Raw genomic sequence first — 22248 nt, 5'->3', positions numbered from 1 at the left:
CAGAGTGAGACTCCATCTAAAAGCAATAATTTTTAAAAATTCCAAGATGGGGAACAAACACAGTTACACACTTCATTTATTCAATGAATTACTCAAGATACCCACCTACACCTATTTGCCAGAAATCTAATGTTCTTTACCTTGAGTTCTCTTAGCAGTCCTCATCTTCAGCTGTTGGAACATTCAGGATTCTGGGCTTGCTCCAAAGGAAAAGTCCCCATCCTTATCCTCTGCTAATAGGGCTGTACACCTCTATACATGATTTGACAATATCAGTCAAAATTATTTTTAAACAGCATTATTTGATTCAGCAACTCCATATATAATAATTTATCCTGTAGTTGTATTTGACTATGTGAAAAATCACCTATATACAAGTTTATTTACTGCAGTTTTATTTAATAGTGAAAGATTGGAAATGACCTAAATGTTCATCATTAAAGAACTGGCTAAATAAATGGTTCATCCATACAATGAAGTGCTGTGTGGGTTAGGATCCCAGCAGGAATGATAAGTCATACACAAACAGGATAATTGAGAGTTTAATGATAGGACTATTTACAAAGTTGAGGGCAGCATTAAGGGAAATCCTGGAAGCCCATAACAGTGGGGCTCCATTGCCACCCCATCCCTGAGAGTGGAAATGGAGGAAGTAGTTACTGGAGCCCAGTGAGACCTTTGGTATAAAACAGAGTTAGGCTGGAAGCAGTGGCTCATGTCTGTAATCCCAGCATTTTGGGAGGCCGAGGCCGGCATATCAGTTGAGGTCAGGAGTTCAAGACTAGCCTGGCCAATATAGTAAAACCCCGTGTCTACTGAATATACAGGTATATGTGTATATATATATATATACACACACATATACATACAAAATTAGCCAGGCATGGTGGCATGTGCCTGTAATCCCAGCTACTCAGGAGGCTGAGGCATGAGAATCAATTGAACCCTGGAGGCGGAGGTTGCAGTGAACTGAGATCTCGCCACTGCACTCCAGCATGGGCGACAGAACGAGACTCCTTCTCAAAAAAAAAAAAAAAACAAAACAGAGTTGGCCGGGCACGGTGGCTCACGCCTGTCATCCCAGCACTTTGGGAGGCCGAGGCGGGCAGATCACCTGAGGTCAGGAGTTCGAGACCAGCCTGACCAACACAGTGAAACCCCATCTAAAAATACAAAGAAAATTAGCCAGGCGTTGTGGCGTGTGCCTGTAATCCCAGTTACTTGGGAGGCTCAGGCAGAAGAATGGCTTGAATCCAGGAGGTGGAGGTTGCAGCGAGCCGAGATTGCACCATTGCACTCCAGGCTGGGCGACAACAGCGAAACTCTGTCTAAAAAAAAAAAAAAAGAAAAAGAGTTGATAGGAGTCATGGCCAAAGCAAGTAGACAGCCAAGCCTGTCCATGGGGTAGAGGAAAGTGTAATTCTTACCTAAGGAAAGGACCAGTGGGAGAGAAGAAAACATTTTCAACACAATATAAGCTGGGCGTGGTGGCTCACCCCTGTAATCCCAGCACTTTGAGAGGCCAAGGTGGGGAGAACACTTGAGGTCAGGAGTTTGAGAGCAGCCTGGCCAACAAGGCGAAAAACCCCATCTCTACTAAAAATACAAAAGTTAGATGGGCGTGATGGTGGGCGCCTGTAGTCCCAGCTATTCAGCAGCAGAAGGCAGGCGTATCACTTGAACCTGGGAGGTGGAGGTCGCTGTGAGCCGAGATCACACCACTGCACTCCAGTCTGGGCAACAGAGCAAGATTCTGTCTCAATAAATAAATAAATAAATAAAACAATATAATCACTGGGTGGGGTGGCTCATGTCTAAAATCTTAGCACTTTGGGAGGATGAGGCAGGAGAATCACTTGATCCCAGGAGTTCAAGATCAGCCTGGGCAACATAAGGAGACCTCTCTCTACAAGAAAAATTTTTTAATGTGCTATGCATGGTGGCATGCTTCTTGGGAGACTGAGATAAGAGGATAAGAGGATCATTTGAGCCTCAGGAAGTCAAGGCTACAGTGACCCATGATCATGCCACTGCACTGCAGCCTGGCGATGAAGCAAGACCTTGTCTCAAAAAAATAAAAATATAAAACAATATAACCTACCACAGAGAAGGTGATATAGTTTGGGTCTGTGTCCCTACCCCAATCTCATGTTGAATTGTAATCCCGAATATTGGAAGAGAGGCCTGGTGAGAGACGATTGAATCAGGGGGCAGATGTCCCCCTTGCCATTCTCATGATAGTGAGTTCTCGTGAGATCTGGTAGTGTGTAGCTGGCCGGGCACAGTGGTTCACACCTGTAATCCCAGCACTTTGCGAGGCCAAATGGGCGGATCACTTAAGGTCAGGAGTTCAAGACCAGCCTGGCCAACATAATGAAACCCTGTCTCTACTAAAAATACAAACATTAGCCCAGCATGGTGGTGCACGTCTATAGTCCCAGCTACTTGGGAGGCTGAGGCAGGAGAATTGCTTGAACCCGAGAGGCAGAGGTTGCAGTGAGCTGAGATCGCACCACTGCACTCCAGCCTGGGCAACAGAGTGAGACTCTGCCTCAAAAAAAAAATTAGTATGTTGAGGCACTTTCATGTTTATTGTAGCACTATTTACTAAATGTCCCATCTCTGAACTCTAAGTCCTGCCATTTTCCTGGTAGGGAGGAACTTCATGGCCATGGATGTGAGCTATCCAAACACTCAGAAAAAAAGAATCTTGACTGTCTTCTCTTCTTTGACCTTCTTCACTCTATTTTCAGCCAACATTCCCACAGCCCCACCCCCCAAATCCTTGTCATCAATCTGAAATGTGAAACACAGACATTTCACTCTCTGACCACAACCACTAATACCCCAACTCCCCCACTGCTTCATTGCCAATGGCATGAGGGCTATACTGGCCAACTAGGTCTTTGCTTAAGGTTCCAAAGAGTGCAAACACTATAGAAGGTCAAGTCTCCCTCCTATTAAAAGACTTTTTTTTTCTAACATTTTGAAATCTTTTGTTACATGTTTACACGGAAGTATTTGAAGAAATACAAGGGAGTACAAGCAGTTTTTCTAATGTTTCATAAAGAAAAACAGGTGGGGCCTAGCAGTCCAAAGTGGTGATTAACAGCATGAAACTTACATTCACAGCCAGGCGTGGTAGCTCATGCCTGTAATCCCAGCACTTTGGGAGGCCGAAGTGGGCAGATCACCTGAGGTCAGGAGTTTGAAACCAGCCTGACAAATATGGTGAACCCCGTGTCTACTAAAAATAGAAAAATGAGCTGTGTCTGGTGGCTATAATCCCAGCTACTCGGGAGGCTGAGGCTGGAGAATCACTTGAACCCAGGAGGCAGAGGTTGCAGTGAGCCAAGATCGCACCATTGCACTCGAGCCTGGGCAACAAGAGCAAAAGAGCGAAACTCCATCTCAAAAAAAAAAAATTTACCATCACACAAGACCATACTAAGACTCTACACTCATTAGCTGTGAAATGCAGAAGCAAGTCACTTATGACCGGCTTTGGGGGAACTTATCTAACTCATTTGCAAAATGGAGATGATAAAGCTAACCTCAGTCTTGCAATCAGGAGTTCAATTAAGATTATGCTCATAAAAAGCTTCCTGCAGTTCTGGGGGTTTTTTCAAGCAGATAAATGGAGCTGGGATAGGACTGTTTTAATCCAAACACAGATGAGCACAGGAAAATATCACATGTTCACGTGTATGCAACATGGCCCACAAGTCTGCACACACACACCAGAATGAACACATGAAAACATCCACGTACTGGCCGGGCACGGTGGCTCACACCTGTAATCCCAGCACTTTGGGAGTCCGAGGCGGGCGGATCATGAGGTCAGGAGATCGAGACCATCCTGGCTAACATGGTGAAACCCCATCTCTACTAAAAATACAAAAAATTAGCCGGGCATGGTGGCAGGCACCTGTAGCCCCAGCCACTCAGCAGGCTGAGGCAGATGAATGGTGTAAACCTGGGAGGCAGAGGTTCCAGCCGAGACCATGCCACTGCCCCCCAGCGTGGGGACAGAGCAAGACTCTGTCTCAAAAAAAAAAACAAAGAAAAAAACATCCACATACTTATATGTAGTCACCCAATTGTGAATGTATACACACAAATATGAATATGCAGCATTCATCTTGTTCTACACAGAAATACACATCGTAGACACCCCTAAATCATGTGTGCACACATGCTGTATGCAGAGACAGACACAAAGATTGGCAAGCATTGAGAAACAGTGCCACACCCTGTCAGGCACACACACACATGTGCATGTGCAGACATAAGTTGGAATGGATACCCATTATCAAGCACAAACATACACACCACAAAGCCTGGTGCACACATAAATTCATGTATCAACATGAACATGCTGAAACATACATACACGTAGACACTAAAAGCATGCACCCAGAATGACACACACACAGTTGTATAAATGAGGATAAACATGGCAGAGGCATCCAGGAGAACCCACTGGACAAAATGGCACAAAACACAAAGATGCATGAGCACACAGGGTGATTGAGGGGAACACTGACTTGCAGGGAAGGAGAAAGAGAAAGATAGAAAGATGGGATCCAAGACAAGCATAGACAGACAGGTGGGCAAAGTCCTGTGCAGGGCTCCAGGGCCAACCAGAATAACCTGAGAGTCTAATGCTGGCCTGTCCTTCCGCAGATACTGCCTAACTCAGCACCACACTCCAGGAGGCCATGAAGGATTAATTTCCTATTCACAGCTCCATGGGGTAAAGCTTGGCTGTGCTGAGGAAGGGATGGCGAAGGAGGTTCCCAAAGACTCTGTCCCTTTCCTCCTTCCCAAAGGAAAAGATTTGTGAGCTTTAGACTAGAGAATGTAAAAGCAAGGAATGTGCTTAGGGAACATCTCATCCATCCGCTTCATCCTACAGATTAAAGAGAACAACTACCATTCATTGAGCACTTACTGCCATGTACCTCATCTGCATTAACACTTATACTTCTCCCCTAAATAGCCAAAGAGGTAGGAGCTGTTCTTGGCTCCATAAGACTCAGAGAGATGAAGTCAGCTGTTCAAAGCCACACAACAAAGAAAGGATAAGGTTAGGATTCCAATCCAGGCCTTAATCATTGCACCATCCATTCAGAAAGGGAAACTGAGGCCCAGCAAAGGAAAGGGATCTTCCTGGGCTCGCCACTAACTCACTCTGAAAGCCTGTTCCCAAGACACTGCCCACTGGGACAAGTCCCTCCCACATGATTTCAGACACCATTCTCTCACTCCATGCTCTAGGGTAATCAACAAGTCCAAAATTCATTGACCTCTATGTCCACAAATACTAGAGTTCTCCCAACCTGTCTCTCCCCATCCCCTCCCTGGCCAGGTCATGGCAACCTGCTGATCACTCAGTGCACTTCCTAGTGCCAACCCCAGTGAGAAACAAACTCCCCAGATTTCTGTCTCCCACCTTTTTAAGAAACACGAAGGAAAAGGAGGAGCCAGGCCCAGGTGCAGACTGGTGAACAGGATTAGAGCGATTGATATCTGCCAAGCTGGTGCTAATCTTCCTTCCCACCTCTTCCCCTCCAAAATCAACAAACAACTTTCCTCTCTCTGCCTTGTTCTCTGACCTTTGTTCCCTCCACACAGGTCTCAGAGCTCAGCATCCTAGAACAGTTTGAGCAAGATGTCAGTCCTGGGGGTGCCAACCTCACCCACCTCCACTTGTCCAAAGTTGGTGACCCAGAGGACAGGTGCAACCCTAAATGGTCCAACCACCACAGCCTGTCCTGTGGCCATCTGGGGCCCCTCTCAGGGTCTGGCTGAGGCTCATCTCAGACCCACATAGGACCAATATCAGCACCTGCCTCATGCTCATGTCACAGCCCACTGGGACCAACCTCAGACCCTATATGGTGCCACCCTTACGCCCTCCTGAAGCAGGACACTCTTATGCCCTCAATGACACCTGAGACAACACACAGAGCCCTCTTGGCACCAAACATGACTTCAATATTCTCCTGGTGTCAAGTTCAGTGCCAACTTGTTTCCCATCCTCGCATACACCTGGGGGCAGTCCCAAAGCCAACACGATGCCTTTCCCTCCCTGGCCATACCTGATGCTGATATCAGAACCCACCAATGTCATCAGTGTGTCCACTGCTGATGCCAGTCCCAGCACTCACCTCCTGCTAAGGCTGGCCTGCACTTGACTCCCAGGGTGATCTAGGCCAGTCAATGAAGGGGGGTGAGGAGAAAGTTCACATCCCAGCTCCCTCACTTACTCCCTGTGTGACCTCACTCAAGAGGATTTATGGAGTCTAGATCTGCTCATCTTCAAAATGAGGATGATCATGATGAACCAACCTCATTGTTACAAAGATTCAACCAGATCATACACACCTAGACTTAATCTTCCCGTATACGACCATGCTCACCAAAGGGTAACTGTCCTGTTTACTAAGGAAGAATTTCCCTGAGGGAAGGACAGGAGGGCTACTCATCCCTTCTCCACTCACACCCACCCCAGGATCTGCCTCTGTGCCTAATACTGGAGTTTACCCCAATCTCTTCTGCCACTGTTCCCTCTGCCTGCTAATAGTAGTAGCCCCTGACAAAGCAGGAATCATTCTTAAAGGAGACTTAACTCACCCTCGAATGTGATCTTCTCTTCCCAAACACTCCCTTTCCACTGGCAGGAAAACCAAATCCAGAAAGGGGAACTAAGTACACAGAGCAGGAGAGATGGGAGTTCAGGGCCACTCACACATGTCCCCTGCCCACTGTCTGTTTTCTGTCCTCTGTAGATCTTTATATAAAATGAGAAACATAAACAACAATCATAATATTAATAGGGATGATACAATCAATCTAGTGGGTTTCCCTGAGGATCTGGGTTGGAAACCAGCGGACAACCCTTGGGACACTTGAGATTTTTCCACCATTTGGGGGTTGTTATTACTATTTCTCCAGACCTAGCCAATCCCTCTGCCAACCGCTAACTCCAGGTACTCTTCTCCAGGTGTGGGGAAAGTTCCCCTGAAATATGGCTCTGGTCTTCCTCCCCTTCCCAATCAGAGATGGGCAGTGGAGGTTCTATGGCACCCATCCTGGCCTCACTCTGAGGTTCCAATGAGGATTCTGGGCATCAAGAGACAGCTCTGGGCAAAAGCAAAATCAAGTCAGCCCCTGGACCCAGTGCTGGGCTGCTGGGCTTTCTGGGAGAACCCGCTGGGCTTGCTACACACTCCTCCTCCCAGAAACTCCACACCCACAGCCCTGGGTCTTCCTAGCCCCGAGACTTTCAAGTCCATATGCCTGGAATCCCCCTTCCTGAGACCCTTAACCCTGCATCCTCCACAACAGAAGACCCCTAAATGCACAGCCACACTTTGTCTTACCCTAATAAAACCCAGACCTTTGGATTCCTCTCCCCTGGAACCCCCAGATCCACAACTTTGGGGTGCATTCTCACTCTCAGACCCCAAATCCAAAGCCCAAGTGCTCCCCTATGCAAATATTCCAAACTCCTCAGTTCTACAGCTTATCTGTTGCCCCCTCCTAAATCCACAGCCCTGCGGCACCCCTCCTGAAGTACCACAGATTTAGTCTGGAGGCCCCCTCTCTGTTCAGCTGCCCTGGGGTCCCCTTATCCTCCCTTGCTGGCTGTGTCCCAAGCTAGGCAGGATTCATGGTGGGGCATGTAGTTGGGAGGTGAAATGAGGTAATTATGTAATCAGCCAAAGTCCATCCCTCTTTTTCAGGCAGTATAAAGGCAAACCACCCCAGCCGTCACCATCTATCATCCCACTACCACCATGCTGGCCTCAGGGATGCTTCTGGTGGCCTTGCTGGTCTGCCTGACTGTAATGGTCTTGATGTCTGTTTGGCAGCAGAGGAAGAGCAAGGGGAAGCTGCCTCCGGGACCCACCCCATTGCCCTTCATTGGAAACTACCTGCAGCTGAACACAGAGCAGATGTACAACTCCCTCATGAAGGTGTCCCAAGGCAGGGAGATGGGTGGCACGGGGTGGGGGCTGCCTAGTTGGCTGGGGCTTTGTGGCAGGGGGTTGACCAGTGTGGACCAGAGTCTTAGGAAATGGAGTTTTGGAGTTTCAGCATCAGAAAGACAGGATCTTGGGATGTCCAGCTCCCTGACTGTGAGAACCTGGGTGCGAAGCATCCCAGCACATGACATCTCGGTGCTGGGCCCCATTCAGAGTGGAGGCTTCTCCCTCTAACCACTCCCACCCACCTCCATCAGATCAGTGAGCGCTATGGCCCCGTGTTCACCATTCACTTGGGGCCCCGGCGGGTCGTGGTGCTGTGTGGACATGATGCCGTCAGGGAGGCTCTGGTGGACCAGGCTGAGGAGTTCAGCGGGCGAGGCGAGCAAGCCACCTTCGACTGGGTCTTCAAAGGCTATGGTGAGGGGGTGCCCAAGAGGGGGAAGGTGGCCAGGTGGACACGAAGGTCTCAGTGTTCCCAGCCTTCTCCCTGACTCTCCTGCCAACTGGAGGCTAAGGCAGAGTCCCCAGTCTGGTCTTCCCTCCCCATCTCCCTTCATTGTGGCCTCTCCATGTGTATCCCTCACCTGTCTCCAGCGTCCCTGTCCTGATTCCTCCCTGCCTCTCTCTGCCCCACCTCCTTATTCTCTCTCACTGGAGTCTCCTCTTTCCCCTCTCTCTCCATCTCTAAGGACATCCTGGGTTTCTGTTTTCCAGCCCTGGTTCTCTGTCTTCATTTGTCTTTTTGTCCCTCTTAGCTTCTGGGCTTCTCTGTGTTTCTCATCTCTCCGCATCCCTTTCTCACTTCTTCCTCTGTCTTAGGATTTCAGGGTATTCCTACTTCCACATCTTCAGCCTCCATCTCCTGGTAACAGTCTCTCTTCCTTCCAGACCCTCTCTGTTTCTATCTCAATATTTTTCTCTCTTCTCCAGCTCAGCTTAAGAATCTTTCACCATTTTTATTTCCTCCTCCCAGATCTCCCCATATCTCACTTCCCCTCCCTCCATCCTCTTCCTCCATCACTCTCTTTCTCTCCCCACTTCCTTCCCTTCCTCCATGGAGTGTCCCCTTATCCCTCTGTTTCTATGTGCATCTCTCTGTCTGGCCTTTCTGTTTCTTTTCTGATTGTCTTATTCTTTAAACCTGGTCTCTCTCTCTCTCTCTCTCTCTCTCTCTCTCTCTCTCTCTCTCCTCTCTCTCTTCTCTCTCTCTCTCCTCTCTCTCTTCTCTCTCTCTCTCTCTCTCTCTCCTCTCTCTCTTCTCTCTCTCTCTCTCTCTCTCTCTCTCTCTCTCTCTACCTCGACATCGTGTTTCTCTGACTGAGTTTGCAGCTCTGCTGGGCAATGGCGCTGAATCCATCTCTCTCCCACCCTACTCCCTCTCTCCTCCACCCTTGGGGAGCCCCTTGGAGCTGCTCCGCTCCTGCCCCTGCCGCCCCCTGGCCTGTCTCCATTCCCGCGTTCACCTCCCCAGGCGTGGTATTCAGCAACGGGGAGCGCGCCAAGCAGCTCCGGCGCTTCTCCATCGCCACCCTGCGGGACTTCGGGGTGGGCAAGCGAGGCATCGAGGAGCGCATCCAGGAGGAGGCGGGCTTCCTCATCGACGCCCTCCGGGGCACTGGCGGTGAGCAGGGGACCCCGAGTGCGGGGGCAGGAGAAGGAAAACACCCAGGACGAGGAACCCGCGCGCGTTCTGCCTGGGGATGGGGACTAGGTGGGGAAAGGCGCCCGCACTTCCAGCCCTGGAGTCTGGCGCTGGGAATTTGGCTCAACAAGGCCCTGCCTCCTGGAATTCTGACTCTCCTCAGACCTCTGAGTTGACTCTCTCCCCAACCCCCTTCTCCCGCCATACCCGCAGGCGCCAATATCGATCCCACCTTCTTCCTGAGCCGCACAGTCTCCAATGTCATCAGCTCCATTGTCTTTGGGGACCGCTTTGACTATAAGGACAAAGAGTTCCTGTCACTGTTGCGCATGATGCTAGGAATCTTCCAGTTCACGTCAACCTCCACGGGGCAGGTAACTGGCTGCAGCCCGGCCCGTGACGCCCCTACCACAACCTGCCAACTGCTCCCCTACCTGGAGACAGGTGCCCCAAACTCCCACCGCCCTCCAGACAGTGTCCCCTCAAAATCAGTCCCCGATATTGGACAACTGGACAGTTGCACCAGAACCCAGGATGGATGTCCAATACCCTGTCTCCAAGGACACCTGGATAGCTCAACAGATGCTCCCCAAAACAGAGCCTGCTGGCAGGATGCATACCCTCAGCTCAGCTCTCTCACCTGGGCACGTGTTCCCATCCCCAACTTACCGTAATTTCTAACAGATGCTCCCTACCCAGTTCTTCTGAATATTTTAACACCTGGACAAGTGACTGCGTCAACCGGCCTCCTGCATACCTGAACACCTGGTGCTGCAAAATCCAGCCCATCATAATCATTTCACATCTACACAAATGTCCCAGATTAGCCCACTGGAATATCTGGCCAAGCGCCCTCTACTTCACCCACTTAAATACCTGAAAACATGGACAGCTGCCCTAACCAACACCTTAAACACATAAATATCTAGACAGATTGTTCCCTGACACACAAATAAGTGTTCCCCAACCCTTTCCAATCACACACCTTACAGAGGTGCTCCCAGTGCATCCCACTTGGATAGGTAAACACCTCAACAGGTATCCCCTCCACTTCAACATCTTCACCAGCCCCACTTTAATACCTGAGCACCTGAACAAAAGCCCCCAATCCAGACCCAGTAAGTATCTGGACAGCTGTCTCCAACCAAGCCTACTTGAATGCCTAAATACCTAGACAGGTGACACTCACCTCATACCAGCCCCACCTGAAGAGCTAAACACCTGGACAGGTGTCTTCCAACTCAACTTCACTTGAATATCTGAACACCTAGATGTGTGCTCCAATCCAGCCTCGTTTAAATACCTGAAACCTGGATATATGTCTCAGTTCTTCTCACCTAAATTACTAGACCGTGGCCCTGGTACCTAACCTTCCTGAAAACTTAGATATAAGTTCCTATCCGGCCCCACTGAAATACCTAAACAACGAGACAGATGCCTTTAACTCAGTTCCTTCCTTGCTATGAAACAAATCCCATTCCCATCAGCTCCTGCCCCGTGACAGCTGTCCTTCCCTTCCCATCCTCTCTCTGCAACCCCAGCTCTATGAGATGTTCTCTTCGGTGATGAAACACCTGCCAGGACCACAGCAACAGGCCTTTCAGTTGCTGCAAGGGCTGGAGGACTTCATAGCCAAGAAGGTGGAGCACAACCAGCGCACGCTGGATCCCAATTCCCCACGGGACTTCATTGACTCCTTTCTCATCCGCATGCAGGAGGTACACCCCAGCAGCCACTGCGGGGAGATGCAAAGCCAGGCAGAGGGAAATCAGTCTGGGAGTGGGGCAGGCAGATGACACAGGCCCATTCAAATTAACCCTCATCATAATAATCCTCACAATTGGCTGGGTGCCGTGGCTAACAGCCTGTAATCCCAGCACTTTGGGAGGCCGAGGCAGGTGGATCACCTGAGGTCAGGAGTTCGAGACCAGCCTGGCCAACATGGTCAAACCCCGTCTCTACTAAAAATCCAAAAATTAGTTGGGCATGGTGGCGCGAAGGGGGGCAGAGGTTGCAATGAGCCAAGATCACGGCATTGCACTCCAGTCTGGGTGACAGAATGAGGCCCTGTGTCAAAAAAAATTAATTAATTGTTTAAAAAGTAAGTGAGCCTGCATGGTCATGCGCATGTGCAGTTCCAGCTACTCAGGAGGCTGAGGCTGGAGGATTGCTTGAGCTCAGGAGTTGGAGTCCGGCCTGTGCAACTTAGCAAGACCAAGTCAGTATAAGAAAAAAAAAAACAAAAAAAAACTGACAGCTAAGTTGATAATTGAAGGACAGATGGTCAGCAAGGTAAAGAAGGTGAGAAGGAAGAGCATTTTGGGCAAAGCCAGCAGCCAGGGCAAGGGCTGGAACCTAGAGCGAGTCTGGTAGATCTAGGGTCCCTCTTTCCACCTTTGGTCTGAACCAAAGAGAGGTAGATCCAAAGGAAAAGCCCTAGAAGGGCCCTGAGGGCAAGAGGAGTGAGGTTGGCCTAAAGCCCCCTCTCCCTGCAGGAGGAGAAGAACCCCAACACGGAGTTCTACTTGAAAAACCTGGTGATGACCACGTTGAACCTCTTCATTGGGGGCACCGAGACCGTCAGCACCACCCTGCGCTATGGCTTCTTGCTGCTCATGAAGCACCCAGAGGTGGAGGGTAAGGCTGGAGGGGGACGGAAGTGGAGGGCCCCAGACCCTCAAAATTCCCCTTCGACTGGTGCAATGTCCCCACCTGTCCCAGATCCCGGGACCCTGAGACGTGACTTGCTGTCCAGAGACAGGGCAACATTCAGCTGGTAGGCATCAGCTGAGTCTCATTAGATATTAAAATATTGAAAATGTCTGCACTGATTGGTCAGTCACTTCTGTCCCAAGCCCACTGAGTGCCCACTGCCCGTTCCACCGGGTCATCCCCTAAGTTCCTCCCTGTGCCTCCCCTGTGATTCTGGCACAACCTGGTTAACAGGATCCTACTCCAACAATGCGAATGGCTGATGTCTGTTCTGTTATGAATGCTCTACTTCCGTCTCATAGGCGGAGCCATATCATCCACCCCATTTTGCCTATTCGGACTATCATTTCCTGCTCTGAGACCCCTAGATACCTAAACACATTCCCCCTCCTCCCCCAGCCAAGGTCCATGAGGAGATTGACAGAGTGATCGGCAAGAACCGGCAGCCCAAGTTTGAGGACCGGGCCAAGATGCCCTACATGGAGGCAGTGATCCACGAGATCCAAAGATTTGGAGACGTGATCCCCATGAGTTTGGCCCGCAGAGTCAAAAAGGACACCAAGTTTCGGGATTTCTTCCTCCCTAAGGTGCTATCCGCCCCCACCCCCCAGACTACGGGGACTTCCAGCCCCTCTCTGTGTCCCCAGCATCCCACCCACATTAGAAGCTTTCTAGACCCTGTCCCACTCCCTCAATCAGTCAAAAAAGACTTCCCCAACCACCACATCCGTTCCACCTTTCCACTTAGACACTCCTGAGTCCTGCATCTCTCCAGACTCTTTGTGTCAGGAGAATCAAACACATGTTCCCAAACTTCCTATCTTAAGAAACAGAAGCCCCCTTTCCATTCGGCCTTTTGTCATAGGGACAGAAATCTCAGGTCCCCCAAACTCCTGCCTAGAAGGACATGGACCCCATGTCTCCCAAACTTCCTGTTTCAGAGATGTGAACCTTCTATCCCCCAAAGCTCCTCCATCAGAGGACCCCAACTCCTCCATGCCTGCCACTTCCCCTTACCTGGGGCACACTAGTTCCCCCTCCAGCCCCTGTGTACTTTCACCAATCCCCCGACCCTCCTCATCACACACAACTTCCTCCTCCCTACCAGGGCACCGAAGTGTACCCTATGCTGGGCTCTGTGCTGAGAGACCCCAGTTTCTTCTCCAACCCCCAGGACTTCAATCCCCAGCACTTCCTGAATGAGAAGGGGCAGTTTAAGAAGAGTGATGCTTTTGTGCCCTTTTCCATCGGTAAGAGACCACTGTTTGCTGCCAGGCCACGGCTCACACCAGCAGGGGCCTCCCTCACCCTCCTCCCCTCTCTGCGGTGTAGCCTGGTATTTCTCCAGCTTGGAAGTTCCTGTTAGAATCTACCCTTGAGCCAGCAGCTGATACTTCCTTAACTACCAAGCACCCAGTACCTGCGCCCAGGTAAAATGAAAGGAAACATCTTTCCCCGTAGATGTATTTCTCTAGGGTCACACAGCAGATTCCTCAGATCCCTAAAAAGGAGATGACGGCACAGCAGTCATATTTGCAAGTGTACCTGGCAGGAAAGGACATCTAAACCTCCCATTGCTACACCTGGCATGGATCACCCCATCTATGATGGATGTGTGACATTATGCCTTTTTCAAAACCCATAGAACTGTATAACACAGAGTAAACCCTAATGTAAACTATGGACTTTGTTAGTAATAATATATCAATATTGGTTCACCATTGTTACATCTCTTATAGAAAGAAATTGAGGCTCAGGGAGGATCAGAGCCTCCTCTGAAACTCTCTCAGGCCATAATATTCCACCCTTCCTCCCTGGGAGAGCCGCAGCTGGAGGTCGGTACTGGGGCGAGGCTGCACTGAGAGTGGGCTTCACCTCCACCCCTCCCGCCTCTCCTCCTCAGGAAAGCGGAACTGTTTCGGAGAAGGCCTGGCCAGAATGGAGCTCTTTCTCTTCTTCACCACCGTCATGCAGAACTTCCGCCTCAAGTCCTCCCAGTCACCTAAGGACATTGACGTGTCCCCCAAACACGTGGGCTTTGCCACGATCCCACGAAACTACACCATGAGCTTCCTGCCCCGCTGAGCGAGGGCTGTGCCGGTGCAGGTCTGGTGGGCGGGGCCAGGGAAAGGGCAGGGCCAAGACCGGGCTTGGGAGAGGGGCGCAGCTAAGACTGGGGGCAGGATGGCGGAAAGGAAGGGGCGTGGTGGCTAGAGGGAAGAGAAGAAACAGAAGCGGCTCAGTTCACCTTGATAAGGTGCTTCCGAGCTGGGATGAGAGGAAGGAAACCCTTACATTATGCTATGAAGAGTAGTAATAATAGCAGCTCTTATTTCCTGAGCACGTACCCCCGTGTCACCTTTGTTCAAAAACCATTGCACGCTCACCTAATTGCCACAAACCTCTGCGAAGGGCGTTCATGCCCATTTTACACGTGACAAAACTGAGGCTTAGAAAGTTGTCTCTGATGTCTCACAAAACATAAGTGCCCAGAAAATCTTTGAACACAGATCTGTGCCCATAGCCTTCTAGACAGATTCTTAAAAAGCACCTATTCCTCACGTAAAACAGCTTAGTATAGCATCACATGGCCTGAACATCCCTGTCCTGGGGAGTTTTCCAGAGACCTGGCGGGTGGCTGTCCTGCCTTCACTGCACACATGCCCACACTCTCACCTACTCAACATGCTTTGAATACCCGGGTGTAATCTGTGCTTGCTACCAGATAAGGCCACTGTAGCCCATTCAGAGTCAGTCCAGGGACACAACGAGACATGAATGGACATACAGAGTCAGTCCATTAACAATTTTTTGCAGAGCAGAAGTTTTTAATTTTAATGACATTCTGTCAATATATCCCTTAATGAAGAAGTTGAAGGAAAGAATCACTTACAGAGAATGAGAGAACTCTGGATCAGGACATAGCCATATTCATGTGTGTGATCATGTTCAGACATGCATGTGAGCATATGACTGCATATTCTCCTCCGTGTATGCATGAAACATATTCCACTATGGGTTCTGAAGGCTGGGCTCTCCTGATGGATCTGGGGTCTGTTGTAAGACCCAGCTGAGAGTTTCACAATCACTGCCCACTCTCAAAGAAGTTAGTGTGTGTCCCCCTTAGAAGCTCCCTTACGGCTTTCACGAAAATTAACTCCAAGTTTATTGTAGACCTAAATGAATAGTGAGTACAAAACTTCTAGAAGATAATGTAGGAGAAAATCTAGATGACCTTAAGTTTGGTGATGGCTTATTAGATACAACACCAAAAGCACAATCCTTGAAAGAAGCAATTGATAAGTTCTGTGTCATTAAAATTAGAAGCTTCTGCTCTGCAAAAGAATTGTCAAGAGAATGACAATACAAGCTACAGACTAGGAGAACATATTTGCAGGGGACATACCTGATAAGGGACTTACATTCAAAATACACAAAGAACTGTTAAAACTCAATAGAAAACAACCCAATTAAAGAATGGGCAAACGATCTGAGCAGACACCTCACCAAAGAAAATATACACATAGCAAATAAGCATAAGGAAAGATGCTCCATATCATATGTCAGTAGCCATTTCAAATTGAAACAATAATGATGTACCACTACTCACCTATTAGAATGGCTAAAATCCAAAGCTGACAACATCAAATGCTGACAAGGAGGTGGCTCAACAGGAACTGTCATTCATTGATGGTGGGAATGCAAAATGACACAGCTACTTTGAAAGACAATTTGGCGGTTTCTTGCAAAGCTAAACATATTCTTACCATGTGCTACAGCAATCATGTTCTTCGGTATTAACCCAAATGAGTTGAAAACATATAGCAACACAAAAACCTCTGCACAGATGTTTATAGCAGCTTTATTCATAATTGCCAAATCTTGTAAGCAACCAAGATGTTCTTCAACAAGTGAATGGATAAATGAACTGTAATATGTTCATACAATGAAATACGGCAGGGCTTGATGGCTCATACTGTTAATTATAGCACTATGGGAGGCCGAGGTGGGCAGATCACTTGAGGTCAGGAATTCGAGACCAGCCTGGCCAACATGGTGAAACCCCATCTCTACTAAAAATACAAAAATTAGCCGGGCACGGTGGCATGCGCCTGCAGTTGCAGCCACTTGGGAGGCTGAGGTGGGAGAATTGCCTGAACCCATAAGGCAGAGGTTGCAGCGAGCTGAGATGGAGCCACTGCACTCCAGCCTGGGCGACACAGTGAGATTAGAAGAAGCAATATTGTTAAAATGTTCATACTACTCAAAGCAATCTACAGATTCAATGCAATTCCTATCAAAATACCAATGACATTCTTCACAGAAACAGAAAAAACAATTCTAAAATTTAAACAGAACCACAAAAGATCTAGAGTAGCCAAAGCTATCCTAAGCAAAAAGAACAAAATTGGAGGAATCCCATTATCTGACTTCAAATCGTATTATAGAGCTATAGTAACCAAAACAACAAGGTACTAGCATAACAAGTTACGTAGACCGATGGAACATAATAAAGAGCCCAAAAACAACTTCATACATCTACAGTGAATTCAATTTCAACAAAGGTGCCAAGAACATTCATACACTGGGGAAATAACAGTCACTTCAATAAACAATGCCAAGAAAACTGGACATCTATATGCAGAAGAATGAAACTAGACCCCTATTTTTTGACATATGCAAAAATCAAATCAAAATGGATCATAGACTTAAATCTATGACCTCAAACATGAAACTACTAAAGAAAACACTGAGAAAGCTCTCCAGGACATTGCACTGGGTAAAGATTTCTCGAGTAATACCCAACAAGCACAGGGAACCAAAGCAAAAATGGACAAATGGGATCACATCAAGTTAAAACGCTTCTACACAGCAAAGGAAACAATCAACAAAGTGAAGAGACAACCTACAGAGTGGAAGAAAATAAATATCTGCAAGTTTTCCATCTGACAAAGAATAATTCACAAAAAAATATAAGGAGCTCAAACAACTCAATAGGAAAAAAATCTAATAATCCAATTTAAAATTAATAAAAGATTTGAATAGACATTTCTCAAAAGAAGACATACAAATGGCAAACAGGTATATGAAAAGGTGCTAGTATTAATCCGTTCTCACACTGCTATAAAGAAATACCTGATGGCACGGTGGCTCATGCCTGTAACCCCAGCACTGTGGGAGGCCAAAGCGGGCAGATCGCCTGAGGTCAGGAGTTCCAAACCAGCCTGGCCAACATGGTGAAACCCTGTCTCTACTAAAAATACAAAAAAAGTTAGTCAGGCGTGGTGCTGGGCACCTGTAGTCCCAGCTACCTGGGAGGCTGAGGCATGAGAATTGCTTGAACCTGGGAGGCAGAGGTTGTAGTGAGCCAAGATCACACCACTGCACTCCAGCCTGGGCGACACAGTGAGACTCCATCTCAAAAAAAAGAAAAGAAATACCTGAGACTTGTATTAATCCATTCTCACGCTGCTATAAAGAAATACCTGAGACTGGGTAATTTATAAAGAAAAGAGTTTTAATTGGCTTACAGTTTTGTAGGCTGTACAGGAAGCACAGCAGCTTCTGCTTCTGGAGAGGCCTCAAGAAACTGCCAATCATGGCAGAAAGCAAAGAGGGAGTAAGGCATCTTAGACGGCGGAAGCAGGAGCAAGAGAGAGTGAGCGGGGAGGTGCTGTACGCTTTTGAATAACCAAATCTCATGAGAACTCACTATCACAAGAACAGCACCAAGAGGACAGTATGAAACTATTCATGAGAAATCCAACCACCCTCCAGCAGACCCCACCTCCAACATTGGGAGCTACAATTCAACATGAGATTTGGTGGGGACACAGATCCAAACCATATCAGTGCTCAACATAATTATCATCAGAGAAATGCAAATCAAAACTACAATAAGATGTCATCTCACCCTAGTTCAAATGGCTTTTATCCAAAAGACAGGCAATAACAAATGCTGGCAAGAATGTGGAGAAAAGGGAACTCTCATACATATCTCTTGGTGGAAATCTAAATCAGTACAACCACTATGGAAAACAGTTTGGAGGTTCCCCAAAACACTAAAAATAAAATGACCCTATGATCCAGCAATCCCACCGTATATATCCAAAGAAAAGACATCAGTATATCCAAGATATATCCACACTCCTATGTTTACTGCAGCACTATTCACAGTAGCCAAGATTTGGAAATAACCTGACTGTCCATCAACAGATGAATGGATAAAGAAAATGTGGATAGAATGGATAAAGAAAATTCACAAAAAGGAGTACTATTCAGTCATAAAAATGAATGAGATCCTGCATTTACAACACAGTTGCAACTGGAGGACATTACATTAAGTGAAACAAGCCAGGCACAGGAAGACAAAGGCCACATGTTCTCACTACTATGGGACAGCTAAAAAAAATTGAACTCATGGAGGTAGAGGTATAATGATGGTTAGCAGAAGCTAAAAAGGGTAGTGGAGAAGGGAGGATAAAAAGGAGATGGTTAATGGGTACAAAAATACAGTTATATGGAAAGAATAAGATCTAGTGTTTGGTAGCACAATAGGGTGAATGTAGTTAACAATGATTTATAGTATATTTCAAAATAACTGAGAGTGGAATTGGAATGTGCCTAATACAGAGAAATGATAAATGCCTGAAGTTATGGATATCCGAATTTCTTTGATTCGATTATTACACATTTTGTCTATGTGTCAAAACATCACATGTACTCCATAAATAGTACAACTTTCATGAAAGAAAAAGAAAAGATTGGCCAGGTGCGGTGGCTCACACCTGTAATCCCAGCACTTTGGGAGGCCAAGGCAGGCAGGACCGCTTGAGCTCAGGAGTTCAAGACCAGCCTTGGCAAAATGGTGAAACCCTGTCTTTACAAAAAATACAAAAATTGGCTGGGCATGGTGATGTGCACCTGTAGTCCCAGCTACTTGGAAGGCTAAGGTGGGAGGATGGCTTGAGCCTGGGAGGACAAGGCTGCAGTGAGCTGTGATCGTGCCACTGCACTCCAGCCTAAATGACAGAGGGAGACTCTGTCTTAAAAAAAAAAAAAAAGAGAGGGAGAAGGAAGGAAGGAAGGAAGGAAAATAAAAGGGAGGGAGGGAGGAAAGGAGGAAGAGATGGAGAAAGGAAGGAAAGAAAGAAAGGAAAGAAAGAAAAAGAAAGAAAGGAAGGAAGAAAAGAAAGAAAGAAAGGAAAGAAAGAAAGAGAAAAGAGAAAAGAAAAGAAAGAGGGAGGGAGGAAGGAAGGAAGGGAAGGAAGGAAAAAATTCCTCAACATGACACAGCAATGTTTAGCGGGTTTTACTGTGTAGATCTTACACTAAATGTAAGCCAAATGTAATGCTAGGTATGCCATTTTTTGTGTCATTGCTTATGGCATTTTTATTTTAATTTCCAAATAAAGAACTATGATCGATTTTTCCATTTTAAAAATCTTTGTCTACCCCAAGTTCACAAAGATTTTCTCCTATGCTTTCTTTTGAAGAATTCATAGTTATAGCTTTTACTTTTAAGTCTGAGTCATTATGAGTTAATTTTTAAATATAGCGTGAAATAAGAGCAAAAGCATATTTTTTCCTTAAGGAAATTCAGTTATTCCAACACTTTCGTTAAAAGACTTTCCTTTCTCCCATTGAATAGCTTTGGCACCTTAATCAAAAATCAGTTGATTATATAAGTGTCTGTTTCTAGACCTTCTTTTCTGTTTCATTGATCAGTATATGCCTACACTACTTTATTGTAAAATAAGGTGAGCCCTCTGAATTCGTTACTCTTTTTTTTTTTTTTTTTTTTTTTTGAGATGGAGTCTTGCTCTGTCGCCCAGGCTGGAGTGCAGTGGCACAATCTCCGCTCACTGCAAGCTCCGTCTCCCGGGTTCACGCCATTCTCCTGCCTCAGCCTCCGGAGTAGCTGGGACTACAGGCGCCCGCCACCACACCCAGCTAATTTTTTGTATTTTTAGTAGAGACGGGGTTTCACCATGTTAGCCAGGATGGTCTTGATCTCCTGACCTCGTGATCCGCCCGCCTCGGCCTCCCAAAGTGCTGGGATTACAGGCGTGAGCCACCGCGCCCGGCCTGTTACTCTTTTATAATTACTTTGACTAGTAGTTGTAAAAGATATACGTCCTAGAATTTTTTTTTTTTTTTTTTTTTTGAGACAGAGTCTCGCTCTGTCGCCCAGGCTGGAGTGCAGTGGCACGAACTCGGCTCACTGTAACCTCTGCCTCCCGGGTTCAAGTGATTCTCCTGCCTCAGCCTCCCAAGTAGCTGGGATTACAAGTGCCCAACACCATGCCCAGCTAATTTTTGTACTTTTAGTAGAAACAGGGTTTTGCCATGTTGGCCAGGCTGGTCTCAAGCTCCTGACCTAAGGTGAACTGCCCGCCTCAGCCTCCCAAAGTGCTGGGATTACAGGCGTGAGATACCTTGCCCAGCCACAGCTTAGAATTTTAAAATCATGTTACTAATTTATACCAAAACAAAAACAGCCTGCTGAAATTTTTATTGGGATTACAAGTAATCTGTTGATCAATTTCAGAAGAACTGACATCTTAACAATATTAAGTCTTCTAATTCGTGGCCATGATAAATCTCTTCATTTAGATACTTAATTTCTCTCATCAATGATTTGTAGTTATGCTATTGCACAACTTTTGTTAATTTTAAGTATTTTATGTTTTCAATGGTATTATAACAAAAGGCTTTCAATATCTCTTAAAATCTTAAATCCTGGCTGTCTGCAGTGGCTCACACCTGTAATCCCGACACTTTGAGAGGCCAAGGTGGGTAGATTGCTTGAGCTCAGAAGTTCGAGACTAGCCTGGGCAACTTGGCAAAATATAAAAATACAAAAAGATAGCTGGGTGTGGTCGTGCGCACCTATGGTCCCAGCTCCTCAGGAGGATGAGGTGGGAGGATGAGGTGGGAGGATTGCTTCAGCCTGGGAGGCAGAGGCTGCAGTGAGCCGAGATCATGCCACCACACTCCAGCCTGAGTGACAGAGAGAGACCATGTCTCAAAAATAAAAAATAACAAAATCTTAAATCCAGAGCCATACAGAATTTTGTAATAAGAGATTCTTCTGTATTCACATTTAAGAACTACATTCCCCAGTGGCTGCAAATTTCTATTCTAAGAAGCTATCATTTCTTTTGATACCTATTGATCACGATGGGGAATGGAAATGGGTCCAGTGTGCTCTTGTCAATCCAGGAATTTTTCAGAGGAAGGGTTTAATATTGGTTGAATGCCCAAGAATCCAGGTTACATGGGAGGAACAAAGGGAGTGTGGGTTAATCATCATAATCCCAAAAATAGCACAGAAAGTGGGTATGGCCTCAGACATCACCCAAGGTGCTGAAAGGAATCGCCTCCCAGCCACAACACACCTGCTCTTTCCTCTCCAAACCACTAATGCCCATCCCAACTCCAGATTTTGGAAAGGGTCAACTCCCACTTTTAAAAATCCTGTTTAAAAGATACTTCTGGCTGGGTGTGGTGGCTCACACCTGTAATCCTAGCACTTTGTGAAGCCAAAGCGAGTGGATCACTTGAGGTCAGGAGTTCAAAACCAGCCTGGCCAACATGGTGAAACTCCATCTCTACTAAAAATACAAAAAATTAGCCGGGCATGGTGGTGCACATCTGTAATCCCACCTACTGGGGAGGCTGAGGCAGGAGAATCGCTTGAACCCAGGAGGCGGAGGTTGCAGTGAGCTGAGATGGAGCCACTGCACTCCAGCCTGGGTGACACAGCGAGACTGTCTCAAAATAAAATAAAATGTACTTCTGAGTGTGTTGTGAGTGTGTATCTGTGTCTGTGGGGAGGTGTGTGTGCACGTCTGTGTCTGTTTCTGGGATCCTTCTAATCTCATTAGTAGTAGC

The 22248-nt window shown here is 47.1% G+C and overlaps 1 protein-coding gene across 1 annotated transcript, besides 22 other annotated features; it reads left to right on the top strand.

Moving 5' to 3' along the window:
• Positions 1042 to 3274: an enhancer, noted in NCBI's record as "-6754/-4532 enhancer fragment". NCBI's record gives the evidence for it as "EXISTENCE:reporter gene assay evidence [ECO:0000049][PMID:16857725]".
• Positions 1042 to 7806: a biological region, named in NCBI's record as "CYP2A6 5' regulatory region". NCBI's record gives its function as "regulatory_interactions: CYP2A6".
• Positions 1102 to 1137: a protein binding site, noted in NCBI's record as "DR4-6698". NCBI's record gives the evidence for it as "EXISTENCE:protein binding evidence [ECO:0000024][PMID:16857725]".
• Positions 1102 to 1137: a protein binding site, noted in NCBI's record as "DR4-6698". NCBI's record gives the evidence for it as "EXISTENCE:protein binding evidence [ECO:0000024][PMID:16857725]".
• Positions 2326 to 2349: a protein binding site, noted in NCBI's record as "DR4-5476". NCBI's record gives the evidence for it as "EXISTENCE:protein binding evidence [ECO:0000024][PMID:16857725]".
• Positions 2326 to 2349: a protein binding site, noted in NCBI's record as "DR4-5476". NCBI's record gives the evidence for it as "EXISTENCE:protein binding evidence [ECO:0000024][PMID:16857725]".
• Positions 3181 to 3210: a protein binding site, noted in NCBI's record as "DR4-4618". NCBI's record gives the evidence for it as "EXISTENCE:protein binding evidence [ECO:0000024][PMID:16857725]".
• Positions 3181 to 3210: a protein binding site, noted in NCBI's record as "DR4-4618". NCBI's record gives the evidence for it as "EXISTENCE:protein binding evidence [ECO:0000024][PMID:16857725]".
• Positions 5359 to 5393: an enhancer, noted in NCBI's record as "ERE". NCBI's record gives the evidence for it as "EXISTENCE:reporter gene assay evidence [ECO:0000049][PMID:17646279]".
• Positions 5359 to 5393: a protein binding site, noted in NCBI's record as "ERE". NCBI's record gives its function as "mediates induction by estradiol" and the evidence as "EXISTENCE:protein binding evidence [ECO:0000024][PMID:17646279]".
• Positions 6589 to 6617: an enhancer, noted in NCBI's record as "ARE". NCBI's record gives its function as "enhancer when multimerized" and the evidence as "EXISTENCE:reporter gene assay evidence [ECO:0000049][PMID:20887713]".
• Positions 6589 to 6617: a protein binding site, noted in NCBI's record as "ARE". NCBI's record gives the evidence for it as "EXISTENCE:protein binding evidence [ECO:0000024][PMID:20887713]".
• Positions 6787 to 7806: a promoter, noted in NCBI's record as "-1019 promoter". NCBI's record gives the evidence for it as "EXISTENCE:reporter gene assay evidence [ECO:0000049][PMID:14974084]".
• Positions 7049 to 7072: a protein binding site, noted in NCBI's record as "CCAAT-745A; G allele at rs61663607 does not bind". NCBI's record gives the evidence for it as "EXISTENCE:protein binding evidence [ECO:0000024][PMID:15247629]".
• Positions 7670 to 7806: a promoter, noted in NCBI's record as "-135 core promoter". NCBI's record gives the evidence for it as "EXISTENCE:reporter gene assay evidence [ECO:0000049][PMID:11394901]".
• Positions 7671 to 7700: a protein binding site, noted in NCBI's record as "probe 2 p53 site". NCBI's record gives its function as "positive regulation of promoter activity" and the evidence as "EXISTENCE:protein binding evidence [ECO:0000024][PMID:26343999]".
• Positions 7705 to 7732: a protein binding site, noted in NCBI's record as "probe B". NCBI's record gives the evidence for it as "EXISTENCE:protein binding evidence [ECO:0000024][PMID:15671201]".
• Positions 7705 to 7732: a protein binding site, noted in NCBI's record as "probe B". NCBI's record gives the evidence for it as "EXISTENCE:protein binding evidence [ECO:0000024][PMID:15671201]".
• Positions 7720 to 7744: a protein binding site, noted in NCBI's record as "probe A". NCBI's record gives its function as "positive regulation of promoter activity" and the evidence as "EXISTENCE:protein binding evidence [ECO:0000024][PMID:15671201]".
• Positions 7756 to 7760: a TATA box. NCBI's record gives the evidence for it as "COORDINATES:motif similarity evidence [ECO:0000028][PMID:11394901]".
• Positions 7785 to 14691, top strand: CYP2A6 (cytochrome P450 family 2 subfamily A member 6). Its single transcript, NM_000762.6, has 9 exons — positions 7785 to 7985; positions 8252 to 8414; positions 9469 to 9618; positions 9853 to 10013; positions 11181 to 11357; positions 12135 to 12276; positions 12751 to 12938; positions 13460 to 13601; positions 14255 to 14691. The coding sequence occupies exons 1-9, from the start codon at positions 7806 to 7808 to the stop codon at positions 14434 to 14436; spliced, it is 1485 nt and encodes a 494-aa protein (NP_000753.3). The 5' UTR covers positions 7785 to 7805; the 3' UTR covers positions 14437 to 14691.
• Positions 9427 to 9926: an enhancer, noted in NCBI's record as "H3K4me1 hESC enhancer chr19:41354211-41354710 (GRCh37/hg19 assembly coordinates)". NCBI's record gives its function as "activates a minimal SCP1, AML or CMV promoter by ChIP-STARR-seq in naive H9 embryonic stem cells {active_cell/tissue: H9 hESC(naive)}" and the evidence as "EXISTENCE:reporter gene assay evidence [ECO:0000049][PMID:30033119]".
• Positions 14314 to 14608: an enhancer, noted in NCBI's record as "tiled region #4763; K562 Activating DNase matched - State 5:Enh". NCBI's record gives its function as "activates a minimal TATA promoter and a strong SV40 promoter by Sharpr-MPRA in K562 cells {active_cell/tissue: K562}" and the evidence as "EXISTENCE:reporter gene assay evidence [ECO:0000049][PMID:27701403]".

Source organism: Homo sapiens, chromosome 19, assembly GCF_000001405.40.
Source record: "Homo sapiens chromosome 19, GRCh38.p14 Primary Assembly".
NCBI lineage: Eukaryota > Metazoa > Chordata > Mammalia > Primates > Hominidae > Homo > Homo sapiens.
This window is presented reverse-complemented; position numbering and strand designations above follow the sequence as displayed.

Bases quoted from the DNA above. Each gene is read 5' to 3' on its own strand.
- CYP2A6 (NM_000762.6), top strand. From the start codon at position 7,806: ATGCTGGCCTCAGGGATGCTTCTGGTGGCCTTGCTGGTCTGCCTGACT. The intron at 7,986-8,251 runs GTGTCCCAAGGC...CACCTCCATCAG, and splicing joins TGTACAACTCCCTCATGAAG to ATCAGTGAGCGCTATGGCCC. The intron at 9,619-9,852 runs GTGAGCAGGGGA...CCATACCCGCAG, and splicing joins CGCCCTCCGGGGCACTGGCG to GCGCCAATATCGATCCCACC.